This window comes from Homo sapiens, chromosome 2 (genome assembly GCF_000001405.40).
Source record: "Homo sapiens chromosome 2, GRCh38.p14 Primary Assembly".
NCBI lineage: Eukaryota > Metazoa > Chordata > Mammalia > Primates > Hominidae > Homo > Homo sapiens.
Genome location: NC_000002.12, coordinates 237,761,811 through 237,781,885, shown reverse-complemented (window position 1 = coordinate 237,781,885; position 20,075 = coordinate 237,761,811). Strand labels below are relative to the sequence as shown.

General features: G+C 43.5%; 1 protein-coding gene across 50 annotated transcripts in view, besides 1 other annotated feature; it reads right to left on the bottom strand.

Moving 5' to 3' along the window:
* Positions 1-242: 242 nt before the first annotated feature.
* The window catches only part of LRRFIP1 (LRR binding FLII interacting protein 1), a 154,057-nt gene continuing 134,224 nt past the window's right edge, over positions 243-20,075 (bottom strand). For 36 of the 50 annotated variants that reach the window (XM_047446293.1, XM_047446295.1, XM_047446303.1 and 33 more), the window contains one exon: positions 15,971-19,283. In XM_047446293.1, coding sequence (XP_047302249.1) covers positions 17,746-19,283 — 1,538 coding nt within the window. In that variant the 3' untranslated portion in view covers positions 15,971-17,745. Of the gene's footprint in view, positions 2,465-7,423; positions 7,529-8,940; positions 9,021-9,687; positions 9,806-11,893; positions 11,944-15,970; positions 19,284-20,075 lie in introns of those variants that run through there. The other 14 variants (NM_001137550.2, XM_017005257.3, XM_017005260.3 and 11 more) reach the window with 1 other exon arrangement.
* Positions 19,245-19,457: a silencer, noted in NCBI's record as "fragment chr2:238671072-238671284 (GRCh37/hg19 assembly coordinates)". NCBI's record gives its function as "represses an EF-1alpha promoter that drives an FKBP-Casp9 reporter gene in an ReSE screen in phorbol 12-myristate 13-acetate-treated (for megakaryocytic differentiation) K562 erythroleukemia cells {active_cell/tissue: K562(+PMA)}" and the evidence as "EXISTENCE:reporter gene assay evidence [ECO:0000049][PMID:32094911]".

The window sequence follows — 20,075 nt, the reverse complement described above, 5'->3', positions numbered from 1 at the left end:
ACGCCCCTCACCCCCGCAGTGGACATTTGGCAATGTCTGGTGATGTTTTTGTGTGTCATGACCGGGAGTGGGGTCTACTGGCAATGAGTTGGTAGAGTTCAGTGTTGCTGCTCAACATCCCACGGTGCAGGGGACAGCCACCCCAGCCACCAAGAACGACCCAGCTCCAGACGACCGTCGTGCTGAGGCTGAGAAACGCTAGGTTGCAGGGATGAAAGAAGCCAGCAACCAATTTCCATTCGTTACATCTGCAAAAAAAGTTTTATTTTACTAAATAAATTTAAAAATCGTGTTCTAGCTTCCTCTGGATTAGGAAGTGTGTGTAACATTGGTTTGCTGTTTCCAAAAGAATTGGTGGGAGAGGTAGAGACTGAAGGCTTGACTTCCTCAGAGCCACTGATAGGGAAAACGCCATCTTCTCAGGGCTGTGAGACACCTGGGAATCGATGCCTTGCAGCCCTGTTCTACCAGCTGGGAGACTTCTGCCAGTTCACCTTCCTGGACCCTGGGTCCCTCATCTGTAATGTGGATTTGATAACAGCATCTACCTCATAGAATTTCCGTGCAAATGAAATGAGTGAAAATATGTGAAAATTGCATGAGTGAAAAATACCTAAAAGCGTCAGCATGCTGCCGGCCGTGTCTGCGTGATGTGTGAGTGTTTGCTGCTGGTGTTATTCACGCATGACATAGACATTTTCCCAGTTAAACATGCTTGTATTCAGATGTTGTGGAAGAAACCTTAAGGATGAGACAAGGAACTGAATATCTCCCTTTTGCCGGTGGGCCCAGCATGGTCAGCACAGGGTCCCTGAGGGGCTTCGTCCAGCTTCCTTCCTCTTTCCTGTTCATACGGTGCCCGGGTGTGCAGTGTGGGTCTCCCAGTGGTGCCCACCTGCCAGCACATTTTGCTCACCTGTCCGACCCGTGGTTTCCTACTTGCCAGTGTTGGCCCCCAGCCCCCTATAACTTGTCTGCTTCCCAATGGGCAGTGGCAAATATCCTCTGCACAAGGAGATACAAAAATCTTGTGTATTTTAATAGAGATTTCATCTCTTTCTTAATGCAACGCAGCTGTGTATATCCTAGATCCATACAGTTCTGGGGGATGGACACTGGTGACCCCTAGCATTATGCTGGGAGTGTTTTCTTGATTATATACCCTGAACTCACAACCCTCACTCCAGCATTCTCCATGTGTTAAGACTAGATATGGTTTTGGATGATACTGACTCAGTTTCCACTTGCTAACGTCCCGAAAAGCTGACTGGCTTCACCAGCCATACTTGAAATACAACATATATGAACAGTCACTAAAAATCAGCAGGTAGCTAAACGTTTTTACTTTTGTCCTTGATGATATTGCCATCGTCTCTACTGTTACCTCCTCCTTCACTTCACTTTTTAAGTGCACTCATTCTGTGAAAACACCTTTTTTTTTAAATAGGGAAAGAAAAATGAATTGACTTGATATTCTTAAAAAATAAAAAGATGACCCAAAATATACAGAACCATTAATATGAAATTAAAGATCTTCTTTCTCAGTGGAAAAAAATTAGAACCACATTGCTGAAGTCTCTCAACATTTCATTTTTAATTTTTCTAATAGTACATTCTTTAAAAGAAGTTAACGACTTCAATTCCAAATATAAGGATTAAATAATGCAATGAAAAGCTGTCATTTTCAGTGAAGCTATTGCCTAATTACCCTGGAAAAAAGTATTCTTATGACTGAACTGATGCAAAAATCCCTTAGAAAAGCTTCATTTGTTGCCTGTAAAGAGTCTTCTTAAGGTCACTTTTACTTCTAGACTGCCCCCTTGTTTCCAGTGAAAGAGTTTTGCTTGGTAATGGCTTGTGGTTCCACAGTGTTTTGTGTATGAAAAGCGTAGACTAAGAGATACTACTGAAGTCGCTCAAATTGTAGATTCTGCCATGAAAGGAAGTCCCAACACTGTAACATTTCCCCTTAATCTTCAGCAAGACACATGAAAAAAAAAAAAAACTCAAGTCCCAACTGAATCTTTACTTTGATCATCACTTCCAGCGGCATTCAGAGGCTGCTGTGCGGTCAGACACAGAGCTCCCTCGAGGCCCCTGTGTGCTTATGAAGTACCTGCAGGTTCTGAGCGTCGGCGCCAGCCCGGGCCAGGGGTCTGCAGACAGAGGCACCTGGTGGCTGCTGGGGCTCCCTGGGGTGAGCCATGGCACGGGAGCCCCTAAGCGCCAAGCTCGCCACGGTCTTCGTCTCTCGGAAGGCAGGGGAAGAAGCAGCGCTCCCAGATAGGACAGAGAAAAGCCTATGAAACAATGCTCTCCAGTCACCAACCAGTTGCCTGATCAGAGCTGGAATTTACTGCTGGGACAAGAGTGCACTCCGATTTGCTTTCATTTTTTCCAGACGCTTCACTAAGTGGCCGTTGCTCACCTCGAGCTCTTCTGTTTTATCCAATGCAGAGCGGAGCTGGGAACGGAGGAAAGGCAGTGAGCTTTAAGGAACTTGTTTCCTCCAAACATAACAGGGTTCTGTGTTACCGAAATTCCAATCCTACTGAAAAATAAAATGATAACTTGGCCCCTGGTCCCTCATGATGCCCTTCCTCCTCTGAAACAACTGGACTCCAGAGAGGGAACACCCTTGGGGATCCTGATGGTTTTCTTTTTTTTTTCTTGAGATGGAATCTCGCTCAGTCGCCCAGGCTGGAGTGCAGTGGCGTGATCTCGGCTCACTGCAAGCTCCGCCTCACGGGTTCAAGCGATTCCCCTGCCTCAGCCTCCCGGGACTACAGGTGTGCGCCACCACCCTCAGTTAATTTTTTGTATTTTAGTAGAGACGGGGTTTTGCCATGTTGGCCAGGATGGTCTCGATCTCCTGACCTCGTGATCTGTCCGCCTTGGCCTCCCAAAGTGCTGGGATTACAGGCATGAGCCACCACGCTCGGCCTCTTTTTTTGTTTGTTTTTTTTTTTGAGACAAAGTCTCGCTCTGTCACCCAGGCCAGAGTATAACGGTGTGATCTTGGCTCACTGCAACCTCCGCCTTCTGGGTTCAAACAATTCTCTTGTCTCAGCCTCCTGAGTAGCTGAGACTACAGGTGCACACCACCACACCTGGCTAATTTTTTGTATTTTATTAGAGATGGGGTTTCACCATGTTGGTCAGGCTGGTCTTGAACTCCTGACCTCAGGTGATCTACCCACCTCGGCCTCCCAAAGTGCTGGGATTACAGGCGTGAGCCACACGCCCAGTGGGGATCCTGATGGTTTCACAAAAGGTAAGTGAGGCATGAGGTAAACAAACACAAACAACAAGAGCTGAGCCTGGACTGCATGGCGAAGGTGGTCCCCACAGCCCTGGCAGCCAGAGTCCAAGGCAGGAATGCCTGAGGCCAAGACGGCCACACCTGGGAGCCAGGGCCATGGAGCCTGAGAGTCAGGCAGAAGACGAGCTGCAGAAGCCACATTAGCAGGGCATCATCTGGACCCACAGGCAGCAGGGCAGAGTGGGGTGCCCTAAGCTGGGAGAACGTGGTTTTGGAGGGGTGACAAGAACAGGGTCTATGGCTCTGCTTTCGACCCAAAACACTCAAGGAAGCTTGTTTGGGTCCTGGGACAGAAGTCCCGACCCCACCTCACTAGCAGAGGCAGAAGCAAGCCCTTTTTGCAGGAAGTTTCCACAAGTTAAGCCTGGAGTTATTCCTACAAATTAAAATCAAGCATAAGCTCACAAAACACTAAGGTGACAAACCATTTGAGTGAGAGTCAACAGAAGCAATAAATGACAGAATTAGACCCCCAAAGACTGAGCATGTTTCAGTTGTCAGATACAGAAAACCAAACAGCTGTGTATGAAATATTTAAAGAATAAGAATACAATTTAAAAAGAGGACATACATGAACATGCAGCAAGAAACTATCAACAATGAAGACACTTTTTAAAAAAAATGGTGAACTGGAAAATCTTTGCAAAAACTTTAGGCATTATCCAATAGAGAGAGGTAAGGAGATAGAAAACATGAAAGAGAGATGGTTAAAAAATGTGGAGACAATGAGAATCTCTAACATCCTCTGATTAGAGTTCCAGAGGGGAAAGTGGAGAGACTAAAAAAGAGGAATTATTTAAGGAGTTAATGGTTGAATATTTTCCAAAATCAATTTTTAAAAAGACTTCACAGATCCAAGAAACACTATATATCTCAAGCAGAAAGATTCCAATAAACTACATCTAACAGTAAAACTGTAGAAAATCAAAGACAAACAGAACCTGAAAGAAACTAGAGAAGAAAAAAAAAGGTCCCTACAAAGGACCGACCGTTAAAACAACAACTTTCTCAACAGCTCAATGGAAGCCAGCAGATGGTGGCATAATCGCTATAATCATTGAGGAAAATGACCACCACACAGAATTGCATGTCCCTGAATACTACTGTCCAAGAACAAGGATGAAACGAAAACATGTACAAACAAAAACAGGGAATTCACCACCAAGAAGTCTGCTCTAAAAGAATTTCTACAGTATGTACTTCAGTGAGGAGGAAAATGATTCTAGTACAGTCTGAGACACTAGCAGGACAGACATATAAAATGGCCAATATGTAGTTATGTCAAACAAACATGGGCAATATAAAACAACAGCAACAACAACACAACAATAGTATTATCTGATAAGTGGGATTTATGAAGCTCAAAAGTATTTATGTGTGGATGTACATGTGTACATATACATATACACATATACACATATGTGTGAGGGTGTGCATGCCAGGCAGGAGGGTGAAGCTAAAGTGCTCAAAAGTCCTTCTATTTTATAGGAGGGGAGTAAAGATAGTGTTCAACTTTAATTTTTTTTTAAGTTAAATAAAAATACCCCATGTGTGATCACTGAAAAGAATAGAAATTGAATATAAAATTTAAATTTGGCAAGAGAAAAATGACACACAAAAGACAGAACAAATGGTTATCCACAGTCAGATGGTGAAAACGAGTCCAAATATACCAATAACAATGGACTAAGGGCTCTATTAAGATCCACAGATTCCAGATTCAACTAAGAGCCACCGCCACCTAGCTATGTGCATCTGAAGGAGATCATCTAACGCATAACAACACACGGAAGACTGGAAGCCAAGGGATGCAAAAATCAGAAGTGGACAAACACTAACCAAAAGAAAGCTGATGCGGCCACGTGAATACCCGACAAGGTCAACAGCAGCAGGGACCAAAAGGGTCACTACAAAGTGATAAAAGGTTTAACTCATCAAGAAGATATCAGAATTTTAAACATCTAGTATCAATAGCCTCAACATATATAGGAGAAATAGGGAGAATGAGATAAATCCACCATCATCTTTTGGAAGAGCTTGACAAATCTCTATCAGCTACTGAGAATTTAAGCAGACAAAAGAAATCAGATCTGAATGCACACTTCACAAGTTTGATCAGTGGAAGTATACAGAATTTTGCATCCATAAATCAGAGACTACACATTCTTCTTAACCACATTGGAGACATTTACAAAAGTGAATCATGTATCAGGCCATTAAGCAAGTATTGACAAATTTCAAAGACCAGGTATAACAGGGACCATGTTCTCTGACCATAGCAAAAGTAGGCTAGAAGGTTAAATGGGCCAGGCATGGTGGCTCATGCCTGTAATCCCAGCACTTTGGGAGGCCAAGGCAGGAGGATCACCTGAGGTCAGGAGTTCAAGACCAGCCTGGCCAACATGGAGAAACCCCGTCTCTACAAAAACACAAAAATTAGCCAGGCATGATGGTGGGTGCCTGTATTTCCGGCTACTCGAGAGGCTGAGGTGGGAGGCTTGAACCTGGGAGGTGGAGGTTGCAGTGAGCCGAGATGGCGCCATTGCACTCCAGCCTGGGCAAGAGTCAGACTCCGTCTCAAAAAAATAAATAAATAAAATAAAATCAAATAAAATAAATAAATAAATAAAATAAAGAGGAGAGAAATGGCATCTTTGGTTTCTCCTCCACAGTCCCTTTCCTACAGTTTAAATATAAAATGAGTGATTCTTTCCTTTTTTTTAATGAAAAACGGTCTCACTCTGTCGCCCCATGCTGGAGTGCAGTGGCACGCTCATGTGTCAAAGCAGCTTTCACCTCCCAGGCTCAAGCAATCCTCCTGCCTCAGCCTCCCAAGTAGCTGAGACTACAGGCACGGGCCACCGCACCCGGCTAATTAGTTTTTTTGCACTTTATGTAAAGACAGGTTTTCACTATGTTGCCCACACTGGTCTTGAACTCCTGAGCTCAAGCGATTTGCTCACCTTGGCCTCCCAAAGTGCTGGGATTATAGGCGTGAGCCACCGCGCCCGGCCCGAGTGATCCTATTGAAACATAAATCAACATAAGCCACTCCTTTGCTCAAAACCCTGCAGTAGCTCCCACTTTATGCACAGGAGGATCCCAAGTCCTGTCCATGGCCTCCAGGGCCCTGCCTCACGGGCTGAGGTGCTCTCACTGCTCCCTCCACCCCCTCACCCCCTGCTCACTTGGCCTCCACCGCTCTGACTGTTCCTTGACAAAGGCAGTGCCTTGCCCCGAGCTCCCCTGCACGTGCTGATCCTTTGCGCGGAAGGCTTTCTCCCAGTTCTGCCTGGCTCACTCCCTGGGCTGTTCAGGCCTGTCCTTATATGCCACAAGAAGGAAAGTCTTCCTTGGCCACCTACCTAGAACTGCCCTGGCCTGGGCCATTCCGCACCCCAGCCCCTCTCCTGCCTGTGGTCACTTTTATGGACCTCCCTCTTCCAGAGCACAGGCTCTATGGAGGCGGAGACTCCTGTCTGTAAGGTCACAGCTGCATCTCCAGCACCTGAACCCGTGCCCGGCATGCAACGGGTGCTGTAAATATTTGTTGAACAAACAACTTTGCCAAGTGTCTTCAGTAAGGTAAAGTATGTGTTTTAATTGGCAAGCATGGTAATTTGGGAGTGTGACCAGCAGGTGGAGTAACAGCAGCTCGGCTTCTCAAGGGCACTCTCCATAGGGTGACCTGAGACAGCTGTGGCCTGGCCCTGGTGCCACACCCAGCTCTTGGCCACAGCAGGCCCATGGGCTCCTGGTCCTCCACCTGGGCTCATTCTGCATGACACAAAAAATATTCGGAGCATAAGAGGCCTGGCTACTCCTTTATCTCATTCTCTTGACGTTTACGGACAAGACCTATAGGAGATGCTCAAAACTGACAGATGAACTAGTTGATGCCAGCAAGGGTCTAGCCCTAAGCCCTAACTGGCTGCGCCATGCCTTCCTTTATTAAGACACCGGCACTGCAGAGTGGTGTGGGATGATCTGACAATGACCAGCCCAGGGGCAGATGTCACAGTAGTAAATCCTCTCTGTACCGTCCCCACTAGAGAAATACTGGCAGCCATTCTCTTCCTAGAAATTGCCTAGGAAATTTACCTCTCTTTGGAGTTTCCGTTTTTCTGCCTTAAGTTCATCTTCTATTTTTTCTGCATTTTCAGCCGCTGATTTGTAACGTGATACTTGACTCTCTAACCTTATTACCTAAAAGGTAGAAAAAAAACCATATGTATAAATTGATAAGCCTGTTTTCTTTCTTCAGTTTCTTTACTTTGAGATCAAAGAGTGTGATTTAATAAAATGGGAGAATACACCATGTAAATACTTATAACATTTTGGACTATGGTGTGGGTTTGAGCCAAGCAAGCTATTCTTGGTTACTATTTCTGGGCGACCCTGTGCTGACATGATGGGGACCCATTTCCTCTGACCCCGTCCACCAGGGTGGTTTCTGCAGTGCTGGCACCTTGCTGCCTGCTTCTTCTCCCGCTGCGTGGGGCTGTTCTGTTGGAACAGGCAGAATGGTGCTGGTAAGGGACGTGTTCCGCCACGACCTCAGCTCCAGTCTAATCTCTCCTGGGGTGGCGGGGGTGGGAGGAGGAAAGGACAGGGCGAGGAGTGAAAGGAGGCGGCTTCGGCATGGCATTCCCCAGCCAAGGTTCTGAGATGAAAGACGGCAGCAGCGAAGGCCTGCTGGACACCTTCACTCTGCCGCAATCAAAAGCACACATCGTCTCTACCTGTGCTGTTCTCATTTTTGTTTCTATAAACATTCTAAAAAGTTCCAGCCAAGTACACCCACAATGGAGGGGGAAACAGTCCTGTTTTTTTTCTCTCTTTCTGGCTAGAACACAAATTGCCCTAGGGCCCAGGGTGCTAGAGGCAGGAGTGCCCCATGTCTAGACACCAGGGAGGGCGGGCCTCGCTGCAAGAGAAAGGCTAAAAGCCCAGGCAAGAGGGACGTCCCAGTATGATGTGTTTTTTTAATTAGCTACATTATTTATTTATTTATTTTATTTTATTTTTGAGACAGAGTCTCGCTGTTGCCCAGGCTGGAGTGCAGTGGCGTGATCTCGGCTCACTGCAACCTCTGCCACCCTGGTTCAAGCGATTCTCCTGCTTCAGCCTCCTGAGTAGCTGAGATTACAGGCGCCTGCCACCATGCCCGGCTAATTTTTGTATTTTTAGTAGAGACGGGGTTTCACTATGTTGGCCAGGCTGGTCTCGAACTCTCGACCTTCAGTGATCCACCCATCTCAGCCTCCCAAAGTGCTGGGATTACAGGTGTGAGCCACTGCGCTCGGCCAATTAACTAAATTAATTTTAAAGAACAAAATTTTAAAACACTCCCAAGCCACATTAGCTATTTTCTACAACTAACTGTTGTTGATAAAGGATTAGTATCTACTGTAACAACTTAAATTCTAAGAATTCTTTCCTTCCTGCTTGCTCTGTAAGAAACGGATGGAAAGACTTGCTGTCTTAACTTATCCCTCTTAGGACATTTCTTGGTTCTAAAAATCTCGGCTTTTTCTGGTCCTCAGCCTTTCAGGGCTATTTCTAGCAAGTAAAACTCCAGTCAATCATCAGTTCTGCCCGTTGTTGCTTACACGTACATTTTGTTCTAATGCAGTTATCTCTTGCTCAGATTTTGCAAGTTTAAATTTGAGGTCGCTGATCTGTCTGTTGGCATCCCCTAAAGGTTGAAAGAGAAGGAAAATCTGTTAAGCTCTTGGGCTTTTCAAATATTAAAACAATAGTTACTGGGAACCAAGCCCTTACTTTGTAATCATCTCACAAATCTGTTAGTTCTGGCCCTGCCTCCACAACCTCCCAGAGCTGAGAGTAGGAGAAGGCACTCTCTCCCCATGAACCCAGGGAAAGTGCCTTCCGCCCCTGTGCTTGGGGCAGGAAACCTCAGGCAAGAGAGTGCCTATGAGTGAAGAAGACAAAGAGATGGTAGGGGGTAGGGAAAAGGGCGGAGAGAGACTGGGCATAATTTTATCTCCCTTAAGACTGTTTCTAGTTTATTAGCATGAAAAAAGCCTTTCATTTTTTTTTTTTCATACAATCAACAGATCGAAAGATTGCTGTATCCAGCAAAGTAAATGTGGTTTCCATCGGCACAACATGTGGTGGTATCTTGGTGCACGTTTTTGGGTACCTGTTCTATTTCATAGGCTCAGAGAGAAACACCATTGTTCTGTCTACCTACCCCTCCTTGTGCTTTTATTTTTAAGGGCTTTTGTGGGGATGTGAGGGAATGAGGGCATTCTTTGCCGTGACAGTTTTCTCTGCCAGCACAAGTATACTAAAACAGCACATGTGAAAGCATTTACTTCTACACAAGAATTGACATTTACTTTGTAGGTCCATTACATGCATGTCTGTCCCGTTTTCCAAGACATCATCTTCAGATCGAAGATTGTCTAGTTTGCCAATCTTCTGTCTCTCCTCCAGCTGCCCTTTGAGTTTCTTAATCTGAAAACACCCGCCAGTAAAATCTGTTAATTTCTCTACTCTGAATGAGACCGAAAAGCTGAAGTTAGAGCCCATCAGAAAGGAAGCAGCATGTCAAATGACAGAAGGCACTTTGTGTCCATCAGTACTCTTCTCAGAAACACAATTCAATGTACAATGAATGAAAAATGAATTACACTGTAACTCTGAGAGAAAAGTCATTTCTAAAGTGAAATTCTTCTAGGACTCAGGAGGAGACTGTACATGAAATACCTGCAATGTTTAAGACTCAGTAAGTCACCATGCTATTCACTTTCTCTTTATTTACTAAGAAACCAGAAAGGGCCACTTGGAGCCTTCTGGGCTCCAATATATTGTAATTAAGTCCCCCAAAAGTCGAGTGCTTTCTCAGCGTCCAGGCCAGCTGCAGGTGTGTTCAGAGGCGGTTTGCCAGCTTTCAGGGAGTTGGTCTCTAGCTAGCTTTCCCCTCTCTAAGCAAGACAGAAACATGTCCAGTTGTCCCTTGGTATCTGGGCGGGGGGGGGGGGGGATTGGTTCCAGGACCCCTCAGACACCAAATCTGTGGATGCTCAAGTCCCTGATATAAAATGGTGCAGTATTTGCAGAAACCTACCTGCATTCTCCGGTACACTTTAAATCACCTCTAGATTCCTTTTAATACCCAACGCCTACAACTCACTTCATTTGTGTGGATTCAGTGCAGGACTCCGTGCAGGGCAAATTCAAGCTATGCTTTTTGGAACTTTGCGGAATTTATGGGTTTTTTTTTTTTTTTTTTGGAATATTTCAATCCATGTTGGTTGAATCCACGGATATGGAACCCATGGATATGGAGGGCTGACCGTATAGTTGGAATTGCAGTTAACAGTCAATGACTGCAGAACTTTCTGGCATCTAGTTCGTGGGGTCTCCGGGGGCTTTTCATGTTTAACTTCCAATCTGTGAAGAATTGTTGCAGGTGATCACCTGCCTTCCTACCCCACACACCAAGCACAGGAGACCCCTGATTAACAACAAACCAAAAGTGCATGCTGCTTTAAGGAAGTAAGGATAGAACTCAGGAATGCAGTTTCAAAAGATCACAGGAACTTCAAGAGAATCTTCCTACCATATTTAGTGCTTTCTCCAATTTTCGGAGAATCTTCAACAGAATGGTAGGAAGTAAGGCAAATACATTTGATTAGGCTTATGAGGAGAAATTAGAGGAAAGTGGTTGTAGAGTGATTTAATCACTATCCTGCATATAAAAAGATCAGATAGGATAACTGTTCAGTGTTTCTTTGTTTTTGAGATGGAGTCTTGCTCTGTCACCCAGGTTGGAGTGCAGTGGTGCGATCTCGGCTCACTGCAACCTCTGCTTCCCGGGTTCAAGCGATTCTCCTGCCTCAGCCTCCCCAGTAGCTGGGATTACGGGCGCGCACCATCACACCCGGCTAATTTTTGTATTTTTAGTAGAGACGGGGTTTCACCATGTTGGCAGACTGCTCTTGAACTCCTGACCTCAAGTGATCCGCCCGCCTTGGCCTCCCAAAGTGCTACGATTACAGGTGTGAGCCACTGCACCTGGCCTGCTACTTCTTGAGGTAGGAGAGAGCAATGAAGATAAACATGGTTAAAACAACTTTGTTTAGCTGTAACAAAGAAACACCTGTGAGAGAGGGGTGCTGATCACCAAGAGTACAAAACTGACTTTTATGGACAAACAACCCATATGGACAAGAGAAGTGCTATTTGGAATGACTCAGTAATGCTCTTGTCTCTCAACAGTTAATCATTAATATTATTAATAATCAACATTTATATTTATTTTAAGCAGCAATTCAGTAAAATGTACCAAATTCAATTCCATGGCTTTGGGTCTTTGAGACATCCTTATTAAACCTCATATGACTCAGGATGTTCTCTTTGGATGAAAATATTAACTTTGATGTTCTATTTGGATAGCAATCTTAAGAACACCAGTTGGCTTGATAAAGACTTTCAGACATGATTAACTTAGGGGTTTTCTGAGTAAGCAAGAAGGAAGGATGGGCAGGTGGTTTCAGGTGCCCTGTTCATGAACCGGTAAAGTAATAAAAAGATTGTTACCTGTTCCAATAAGCATTCCCGTTCATCAACCAGCTTTTTCAACCTAATATCTAAAGAAATCACAAAGACACAGGTTTAGGTGAATCCGCGTGCCGCGCCTTTCAGCACATTGCTAAACTGAAGAATGATCGTTCAGGTTAGTGAAATGAATGATGGAAGTAGTTATACACGTACCACGGTGAATGAGGCCACAGACAGGACGGGGTGAATGAGGCCACAGCCAAAGGAGGTTGGGTCAACCTCCCAGAACATGCTTCACGTCAGGGGCAGCATCCGGCTGCATGCAAACAGGCTGCTAATCTTCTACCTTAGGTTAGCATGCAAGAACGCTAGGGCCAAACCACGCTGCAACACAAGATCTCACAGGCTTCATGGTTTAACATTATTAGCAATGTACAAACACCGAGAATCACAATTCAATAGCACCAACATTTTGAACAGCCTCGCCTTTCCGAGTTTACATCCCAGATGTATTTATCTTTCTAATTTCCCTCATAGACTCATCGATGTCAGTGCCATGAGTATCTGTTTACAACCCTAAGTCCACTAACACCTCTGCTAACCCAGTTACCAAAGCTGTTATTCTTTTGAGGAAGAAGGCAGTAATGGTTTAAGTGTCTGTAATTCCTCCTGGACCCGATATATAAGGATGCATAAATGTTAAGTGTCTATAAATTCCCCAAACATCTCTCTGAACGAGTGTCAAGTATTAGAGTCTTCAGACTGCGGGGGAAACCACGGCTAGGGGAGGGTTTAGAGGTTTGGGCAAAATCCCACACTAGTTTAAAGGCACAGTCAGAATGCTGGAGTGATGACAGTGATGATAACGTATGCTGCACACTCGCTCTGACACAGGTACAGTTCTAGCAGCTTCGACATCATTAGCTCGTTTCAGCCCCAGAAGCCCTATGGGTAGGCTTCATCATAGCCTCCTTCTATAGATGAGGCTCAGAGGCCCAGAACCACTAAGCAAGTTTCTTCAGGCCTTGCGGCCCAGCCACGGGAACACTCCCCTAAACACTGCACCCGCTGTTTTTCCAGATCCAAACTCACACGCCCGAGTCAGACCCTGACTCAAAGCTCTTAGCTCACTAGGACACTGCTGTCATGCGGCCTACCTCCAGATTCTTCATAGAATGAAAAACTAACCTTGATTAGCCATGTGAAAAGAAAATAATTCATATAAAATGCATCTTCATTTTCATTTAAAAAATCATCTAGCCACATGCTAATCCAAGTTACATTTTTCTCTAATTATGTTTTCCAAAGATCCTAAGTTGTTTTGAAAGGCACAGTAAACACCAGATAATGTTAAGCACAATATAAATTAAATTTATCATCCTTTTGAGTTCTATTTTAATTTACAGTCAAATTACTTCTGACAGATGTTTTACTCGCTCCCCCCCATAACCCACCCAACATTGAAACAAAACATTTTTGCAGTTATGAACCTGATTCTTTTGCCCAATATCACTTTTCATTTTCTTACATGTTTTAATACTCCTACATACAAAAACTACAGGCGTCATAAGAAACACTGAATACACCAGAATGTGATCTTGAAGCTCAAGTATCTATTGTACAATTGTTATTGTTTTCTTCTAGAAAACTTCAAATATTCTACATAAGCACTAGAAAATAAGTGTTAAAATGTAATAAGAGTGCAAGCAAAATTGATATAGGTAATCTGACATTTAGTTGTATAGTGAGAACATTATAAATAGAGAAGAAACTTTTCAGGAAGAGAAATTCTAAAGGAGACTTGGACAAGAAAACAAGAACGAAAGAGTTTGAAGAAAATGGAAAAAGAAATGAAGCAAAATAATTTGACATGAAGAAAATAAAGAGTACTAGTTTTCGTAGCGTTAAAAACCACCAAGTCTATATTGTTGAATAAATAGTGGCACATCACCGGTAGACTTATAGTGTCTGTATAGCTGGGAAATTTTTCCCTGTATCAGCCACCAGCCATTCACATGTTGAAAAATATTTAAGAGAGGCAGTAGATAGGGACAAAAAGAACAAAAGGATTTTCCTCTTGAAAGACAAAGTTTTCTCCACGTACAACTATCACACTGAACAAGTACATATTCTGAACATAATACATGCACACACAAACACCCCTCCCTTTCCCTTAGGGGCCCAGACGTTTAGAACAAATCTTACTGTTGTGTTCCCTTGGCTGGTGGCCACGGGTGGTACGCTGTACAGGGTTGGGGGGTGGTCTCCCAGAAAGGGAGTCTATGAATAGAAAACAGGAGCCCCAAACCATCTAAACTCCCCAGAATTAGCATTCAGGGTCCTAGTGATAGTGGAAACTTAAGTGTTCAGACCATTAGGTCTCCGGTTAATTACAAATATGGAAAGTGATCAGGGTCACACATTTCTTTTAAGGTCATACATTCTTGAAAACTGTTTAAAAATTTGATTGCTGTCCCAACTTTGTATAACAACCTATAAGTAAAAATCCATCTTCCTCTATATTTTTGACATACACCCATAATTATACTTAATTATACTTTTGAAGGAAGATTTACATTTATATACGGGAGCTATGTTCTGGTTTGGGACTGAAAAATATCCAAGCTTTTTGATTTCAGGTGTCAGTAACCAATGTTTTTCTCTATTCTGTATGATAGTGAAACCCCAGTGGTCTAGGTTCGTCTGGGGATATGGCTGGCAGGCAACCTTTCAATTCTTTTCTGAGTTTGAATCTTTTGACACTATAATCTTTCTAAATTGCTCTATATATTTCTATACCTTCTTATATGGAGTATAGCTAAGTCAACTTTCTTTTTCTTTTCTTTCTTTTTTTTTGAGACAGGGTTTCACTCCATCACCCAGGCTGGAATGCAGTGGTGTGAGCACAATTCACTGCAGCCTCGACCTCCCAGGCTCAGGTGTTTCTGCCTCCTAAGTAGCTGGGACTACATGGGACTACATGCACATGCCACCATGCCTGGCTAATTGTTTGTATATTTTTTTTGTAGAGATGGGCTTTCATCATGTTGCCCAGGCTGGGCTTGAACTCCTGGGCTTAAGTGATCTGCCTGCCTCGGCCTCCCACGTGCTGGGATTATAGGCATGAGCCAATGTGCCCGGCCTCAACCATTTCTTGATAAGTTAAGGGCCTTCACAGTAATATCAATTACTGTGCTTGGCTATAAAGTCATTACACTGGAGAGCATATAACTGATGCTCAGAATGAAGGCTCTGAAATCATCGAGAAATGGTTTGGCTGCTCAGAACTCTTTCTTTTTCCTTCTTTCTTGCTCATGGATTTTCAGCTGTCCATTCCCTACTGGAGGGCTGGGTCCAACTGCTTGTTCACTGGCACAGTGCCTTCCATGTACAAAGTGATCAAACCTGTCTATTAATTAAGCAAATGAGTGGTGAATCACTGAGACGGCTGGATGGCTGAGCTGAGGGATGTGATGTGTGCCCAACGTCCTGCAGGGTGCTGGTGAATAACATGAGAAAGAACTTAAAATGGCTTGATGATCTCACCATTTAGTGACCTTGGTTGTCACACTGCTTTCCAAGAGCCCTTTAAAGGTAGGAATGAGAGCTGTTTCCAGTATGCATTCCAATAGGAATGCAGCTTTGCTAAAGTTAGAGACATAAACTAAAACCCTGTGAAGTCCTATAGAGCCCTTGGACTTATTTCCTAGCAAGCATTTATCATCCCCACCATCCTCTACTTCAGGACACTTGAGCAGAAACAGTCAAGGTTTTTGCCGTTTTCATCCTGCTCTTCAAAACACTGTAAGTAGTGGCGCAGGTAAGCACAGCCACAGGTGAAGACCGTTTTCAGCTGAGGCTGCACATCAGAACCACAGATCACAGGGGATGGTGCGTGACAATCGTCTCAGTTCTCCCAGTAATGCCCATGCTAGCCCCAGGCTCGATGCCAGGAGGGAAGTGCATTCCTTACTGAGGGAGGGCATCAGGCGTGGGTCTTCCACGGAACCCCAATAGGAATCAGCAACCCCCAAGCAGATATTACTCAAAGGTGGTATTACATACAACAGTAGTCAGACTCAGACTTCAAGCAGCCCAAAGAGTGGAACCACAGGCTTGCACAATTATAAAATGTTTTTATTTCAATTACATAATAACACGTTTTCCTCAAATTTTATTGAGGTTTTGGTCTTTTTGCATTCAATTCTATCTTGTAACAGTAATATGAATCCACATAATTTCATAAAATGTCAACAACATTCATAAGGTACATTCCTTTGTGATTTTATATTTTACAATTTTAAATCTAACTTTACAATTATTTTAAAAAATTTTTTTATATAGAAAACAGATATTTTCTTCAGGCAGATCAAAACAAGAATTTTCCAGTAAGAATATACTGGGACATAACAAATGAAAATATTTATACCAAAATACCAAAAGTGATTCAGCTCTTTAAAATATCCTACTATAGTCTAATTAGTAGCTTGTACAAGAACAAGTAACCATTTTTTACTGCTCTTTTGAATGATGATTAGAAATTCAAACAAAGTATTTTAAGGTTCAAAAACTTTTTTTTTTTTTTTTTTTTTTTTTAGAGACAGTGTCTCACTCTGTCTCCCAGGCTAGAGTACAGTGTGCAATCATAGCTCACTGCAGCCTTGAACTCCTGGCCTCAAGCAATCCTCCCACCTTGGCTTCCCAATGTGCTAGGTTTACAGGCGTGAAAACATTGTGTTGTGTGTGTGTGTGTTTTTTTTTTTTTTTTTAGACAGAGTTTCGCTCTTGTTGTCCAGGCTGGAGTACAATGGCTTGATCTTGGCTCACTGCAATCTCTGCCTCGCAGGTTCAAGCGATTCTCCTGCCTCAGCCTCTGGAGTGGCTGGGATTACAGGCGCCCACCATCACGCCCGGCCAATTTTTTGTATTTTTAGTAGAGACAGGGTTTCACCATGTTGGCCAGGCTGGCCTCGAACTCTTGACCTCAGGTGATCCACCTGCCTTGGCCTCCCAATGTACTGAGATTACAGGCATGAGCCACCACGCCCGGCCAAAAACATTTAAAAAATGACTGTCCCTGCTCAAATACTGCAGTAGGAAATGTAATTTGACATATATCACTTCCAGAAAAAAACTTTAAATCTTTCTATAAAATGAATTTGATACATCATCAGCATGAAGTGAAGTTAAAATCTCTTACAAAGTAAATTCAGGTATATCAACAATGAGATCCAAAAGTATCGGTTCAAGATCAAAGACTCATATGAGGTAAAGGCAAATAAAGCCCCTCATGCTTTCAGACATTTACTTGTTATCCTTAAAATGATTATTGTTCTAAGGTGCAAATCTTATCATTCAGTGACCTATTTGCTATTTGGCTGTTTATCTCCTTTAAATAAAATACCATACAGGTTATAATGTACATTTTAAAATCAAATATGAAAGTACACATATGTGAACAAGACATTAATTTAAATATCAATTATATTCATAATACAGAAGTCTAAGAATGCTATTTGGTCATTTCAATTAGATGCTGATATATTTGGTCAAGAAAACCCACATTCCTATCAGCCTAAGGCAAATAGTAAATGCCTCTATTTTTATTAAGTGGACTATAAACAGTAGACATTATTGTTTGATACTACTGGAATGCTCTCAATTAGAACGTACACTGATAACAAATATGTCTTTCTAATCTGGGTGATAACCTCAATGATTACATGGAAATCTACAAGTAACAGTCTATAACTTAAAGCAGTAGAGCACCTGGTAATTGTCATACAGTGCCTCTCTATGAATTTAGAACATTCTACTTACATTGGCAGTGGAGAGAAAAGACCCCTTCACACTGAGACTTCCTGTGCACCGCGCCTGCCGCCTGCCTCAGCTTAGGACATGGTACAGTCTTCTTTGCTTTTGCCCTTCTCATTCCCTCCTCTGGTATCTTCTCTGCTTTCTGGATTGAAGTGCCCTGGCTCTCTTCCTGGTGCCGACAAGTCATCGTTCTCTAGGCTATTGCTGTCTAAAGCTTTCCTGACGGTCTGACTTGGATGTTCTGACATCTCACACCTCTCTGTACTTTCTGCTTCACAGGCATCACTAATGTCCTGTGAGGGACTTTCATGTTCGGGCAGGGTGCAGCGATCTGCGTCTTCGCTCTTTGGTTCTGCAGGACTGCTTTGAGTGGCACCATCTATTTTAGCATTATCTTTTGCAACACCTTCATCTAATTCTTCACCACCAGCCCTCGGGCCTGATGATTGAACGGTGTCATCCTCAAAATCTAATGTGTCTCCATCAGCTAGTACCTCCTCAGCTGCTGTTTGTACATCATCACCTTCTTGGTCAAGTTTTCCATCCAACTTAATTTTAGGATTCTCCGGACAATCAACATTTTCACTGCTTTCTGCTGCAATTTTCTGTTTTGGATTTTCAGTCACCTCGTTTTGGGCTTCCACTGCTGACTTTCTGTCAGTAGACTTTACCTGCTCTTCTTCCTTAATTTCACTTAAATCTGTGTTCTGATACGTTAACTCTTTTTTAACATCTTTAAGGGTTTCTACGGGTACTGGGGATTTTTTCTTCTTGTTTTTCTTTTTCTTGTTCTTTGTCTTCTTCTGCGATGAGTCCAATGCCTCTCCCTGTTGGTCACTCTTTTCTTCATCGGGCTCTTTCATATCTAAGGGTTCATTTTGAGTGTCTACTGTACTTGGACCTGTCGCTTCCTGACAGTTGCCCTCAGTTCCTGCTGGAGAACCAGGAACTTCTGTCTTGATTGGTTTCTCGTCCCTTAATCCTGTTTCTTCACCCTCTTCTTCGTTGTGATCCCTACCTACTTCTGTACTGTGCGCTGGAACCTCCTTGGGCTCAGCTGCTTCCTGGTTGGTGAATTCTTTCTCTAAACTATGCCCTGTGCTTGTCTCTAACTCTTGGGGGACCTCTACCATACATTTGTCATCATGATAAACTGTGTCATCACTATGCCCTAAAGGACACGAGGCCACTGTGCCTGCCTGCTCTTCAACCTGAGTCACTGCTGCCTCTCCCACATTCTCTGTGTGGTTCCCACCATCTAAGTCACTCCAACAGTTGGATGGCTCAAGGGGAGTTCTGGTCCTGTCATCTGGTGCACCCATGACCTCATTTGACTCAACCTGTACTGTGTTTTCAGGGAGAGAACTGCTCTCAAGAATTTGGCTTTGAACCTGTTCCTCATAGGTAGCACCTGCTAAGGTTCCTAGGAATGGGGCAGTGTCTTCAGAGGATTTCTGGTCCTCGGTATTCTCACCAGCAGGGAATACCTCTATGTCCACACAGTCCTTCACTGTGTCCTCTGTGTGTTGTTCTTTCTCAGTATTGTGCAAGATTTCTCTTTTCCCCACATTCGCCACGATTTCATTTTTCACCTCCACTTCACTGGCTCTTCCTAAAAGACCATTGAGAAAATTGAAGGGACCCCATGATGTGGCGGCCACATAATCTACATTAGAATGTAAACACACGTTCCAAATCCCACCCACCCCTATTCCTAAAGACAGAGTCATCAAAGAGTCATGAGAAACAAGCCTTTGCCAGTTCTGTGCGGCAAAGCAGCAGTTGCATTAGTAAATTTTGGGTCAGTGAGGGCCACTGCCACCACATCAAAGGCCAGAGTGGCTGCTGGTGCCATCTTGTGTGGACAGATTTTTAAAGGTGACGTTAAGTTTCAACAAATAGAAAGAACTCTGGATCAGGCAGCCAAACAATCCACAATGATGGGTTTAGGAACAGACTGAAGGTTCAATTCCCCACTCTCACTTCTCAATGAACAACTTGACAACTTGTACTTTTGCAGCTGTCAAACTGCACTCCATGTCACACAGCCCTAAAAGCAGCTTTCAAGTAATTTTTAAAAAGAATATTCAGTGCACTTTTAGAAATGCAGCCTCAAGGTCAGTCTCAAGGAAGATGCTTTTGAAATAGCTCATATGAAAGGAAATCTATCTTCTGCCACTCAACTATTGTTTTCCTGAGAAAACACCCTGTGTCCATGCCCTGATACCTCTGCTCCATTCCCTAAGGGACTAGGGAGAGAGGACCAGCAGGAGGCAAATGTTCAAGATCAAGATGACCACTAAATTAAATGATAAATTATTCATCGTCTAAAGAACATCAAACTGTTTTGGAATTTTTGGACTCTCCAAACAAAACCCCAGCAGATTAGATATGGTACTATGTT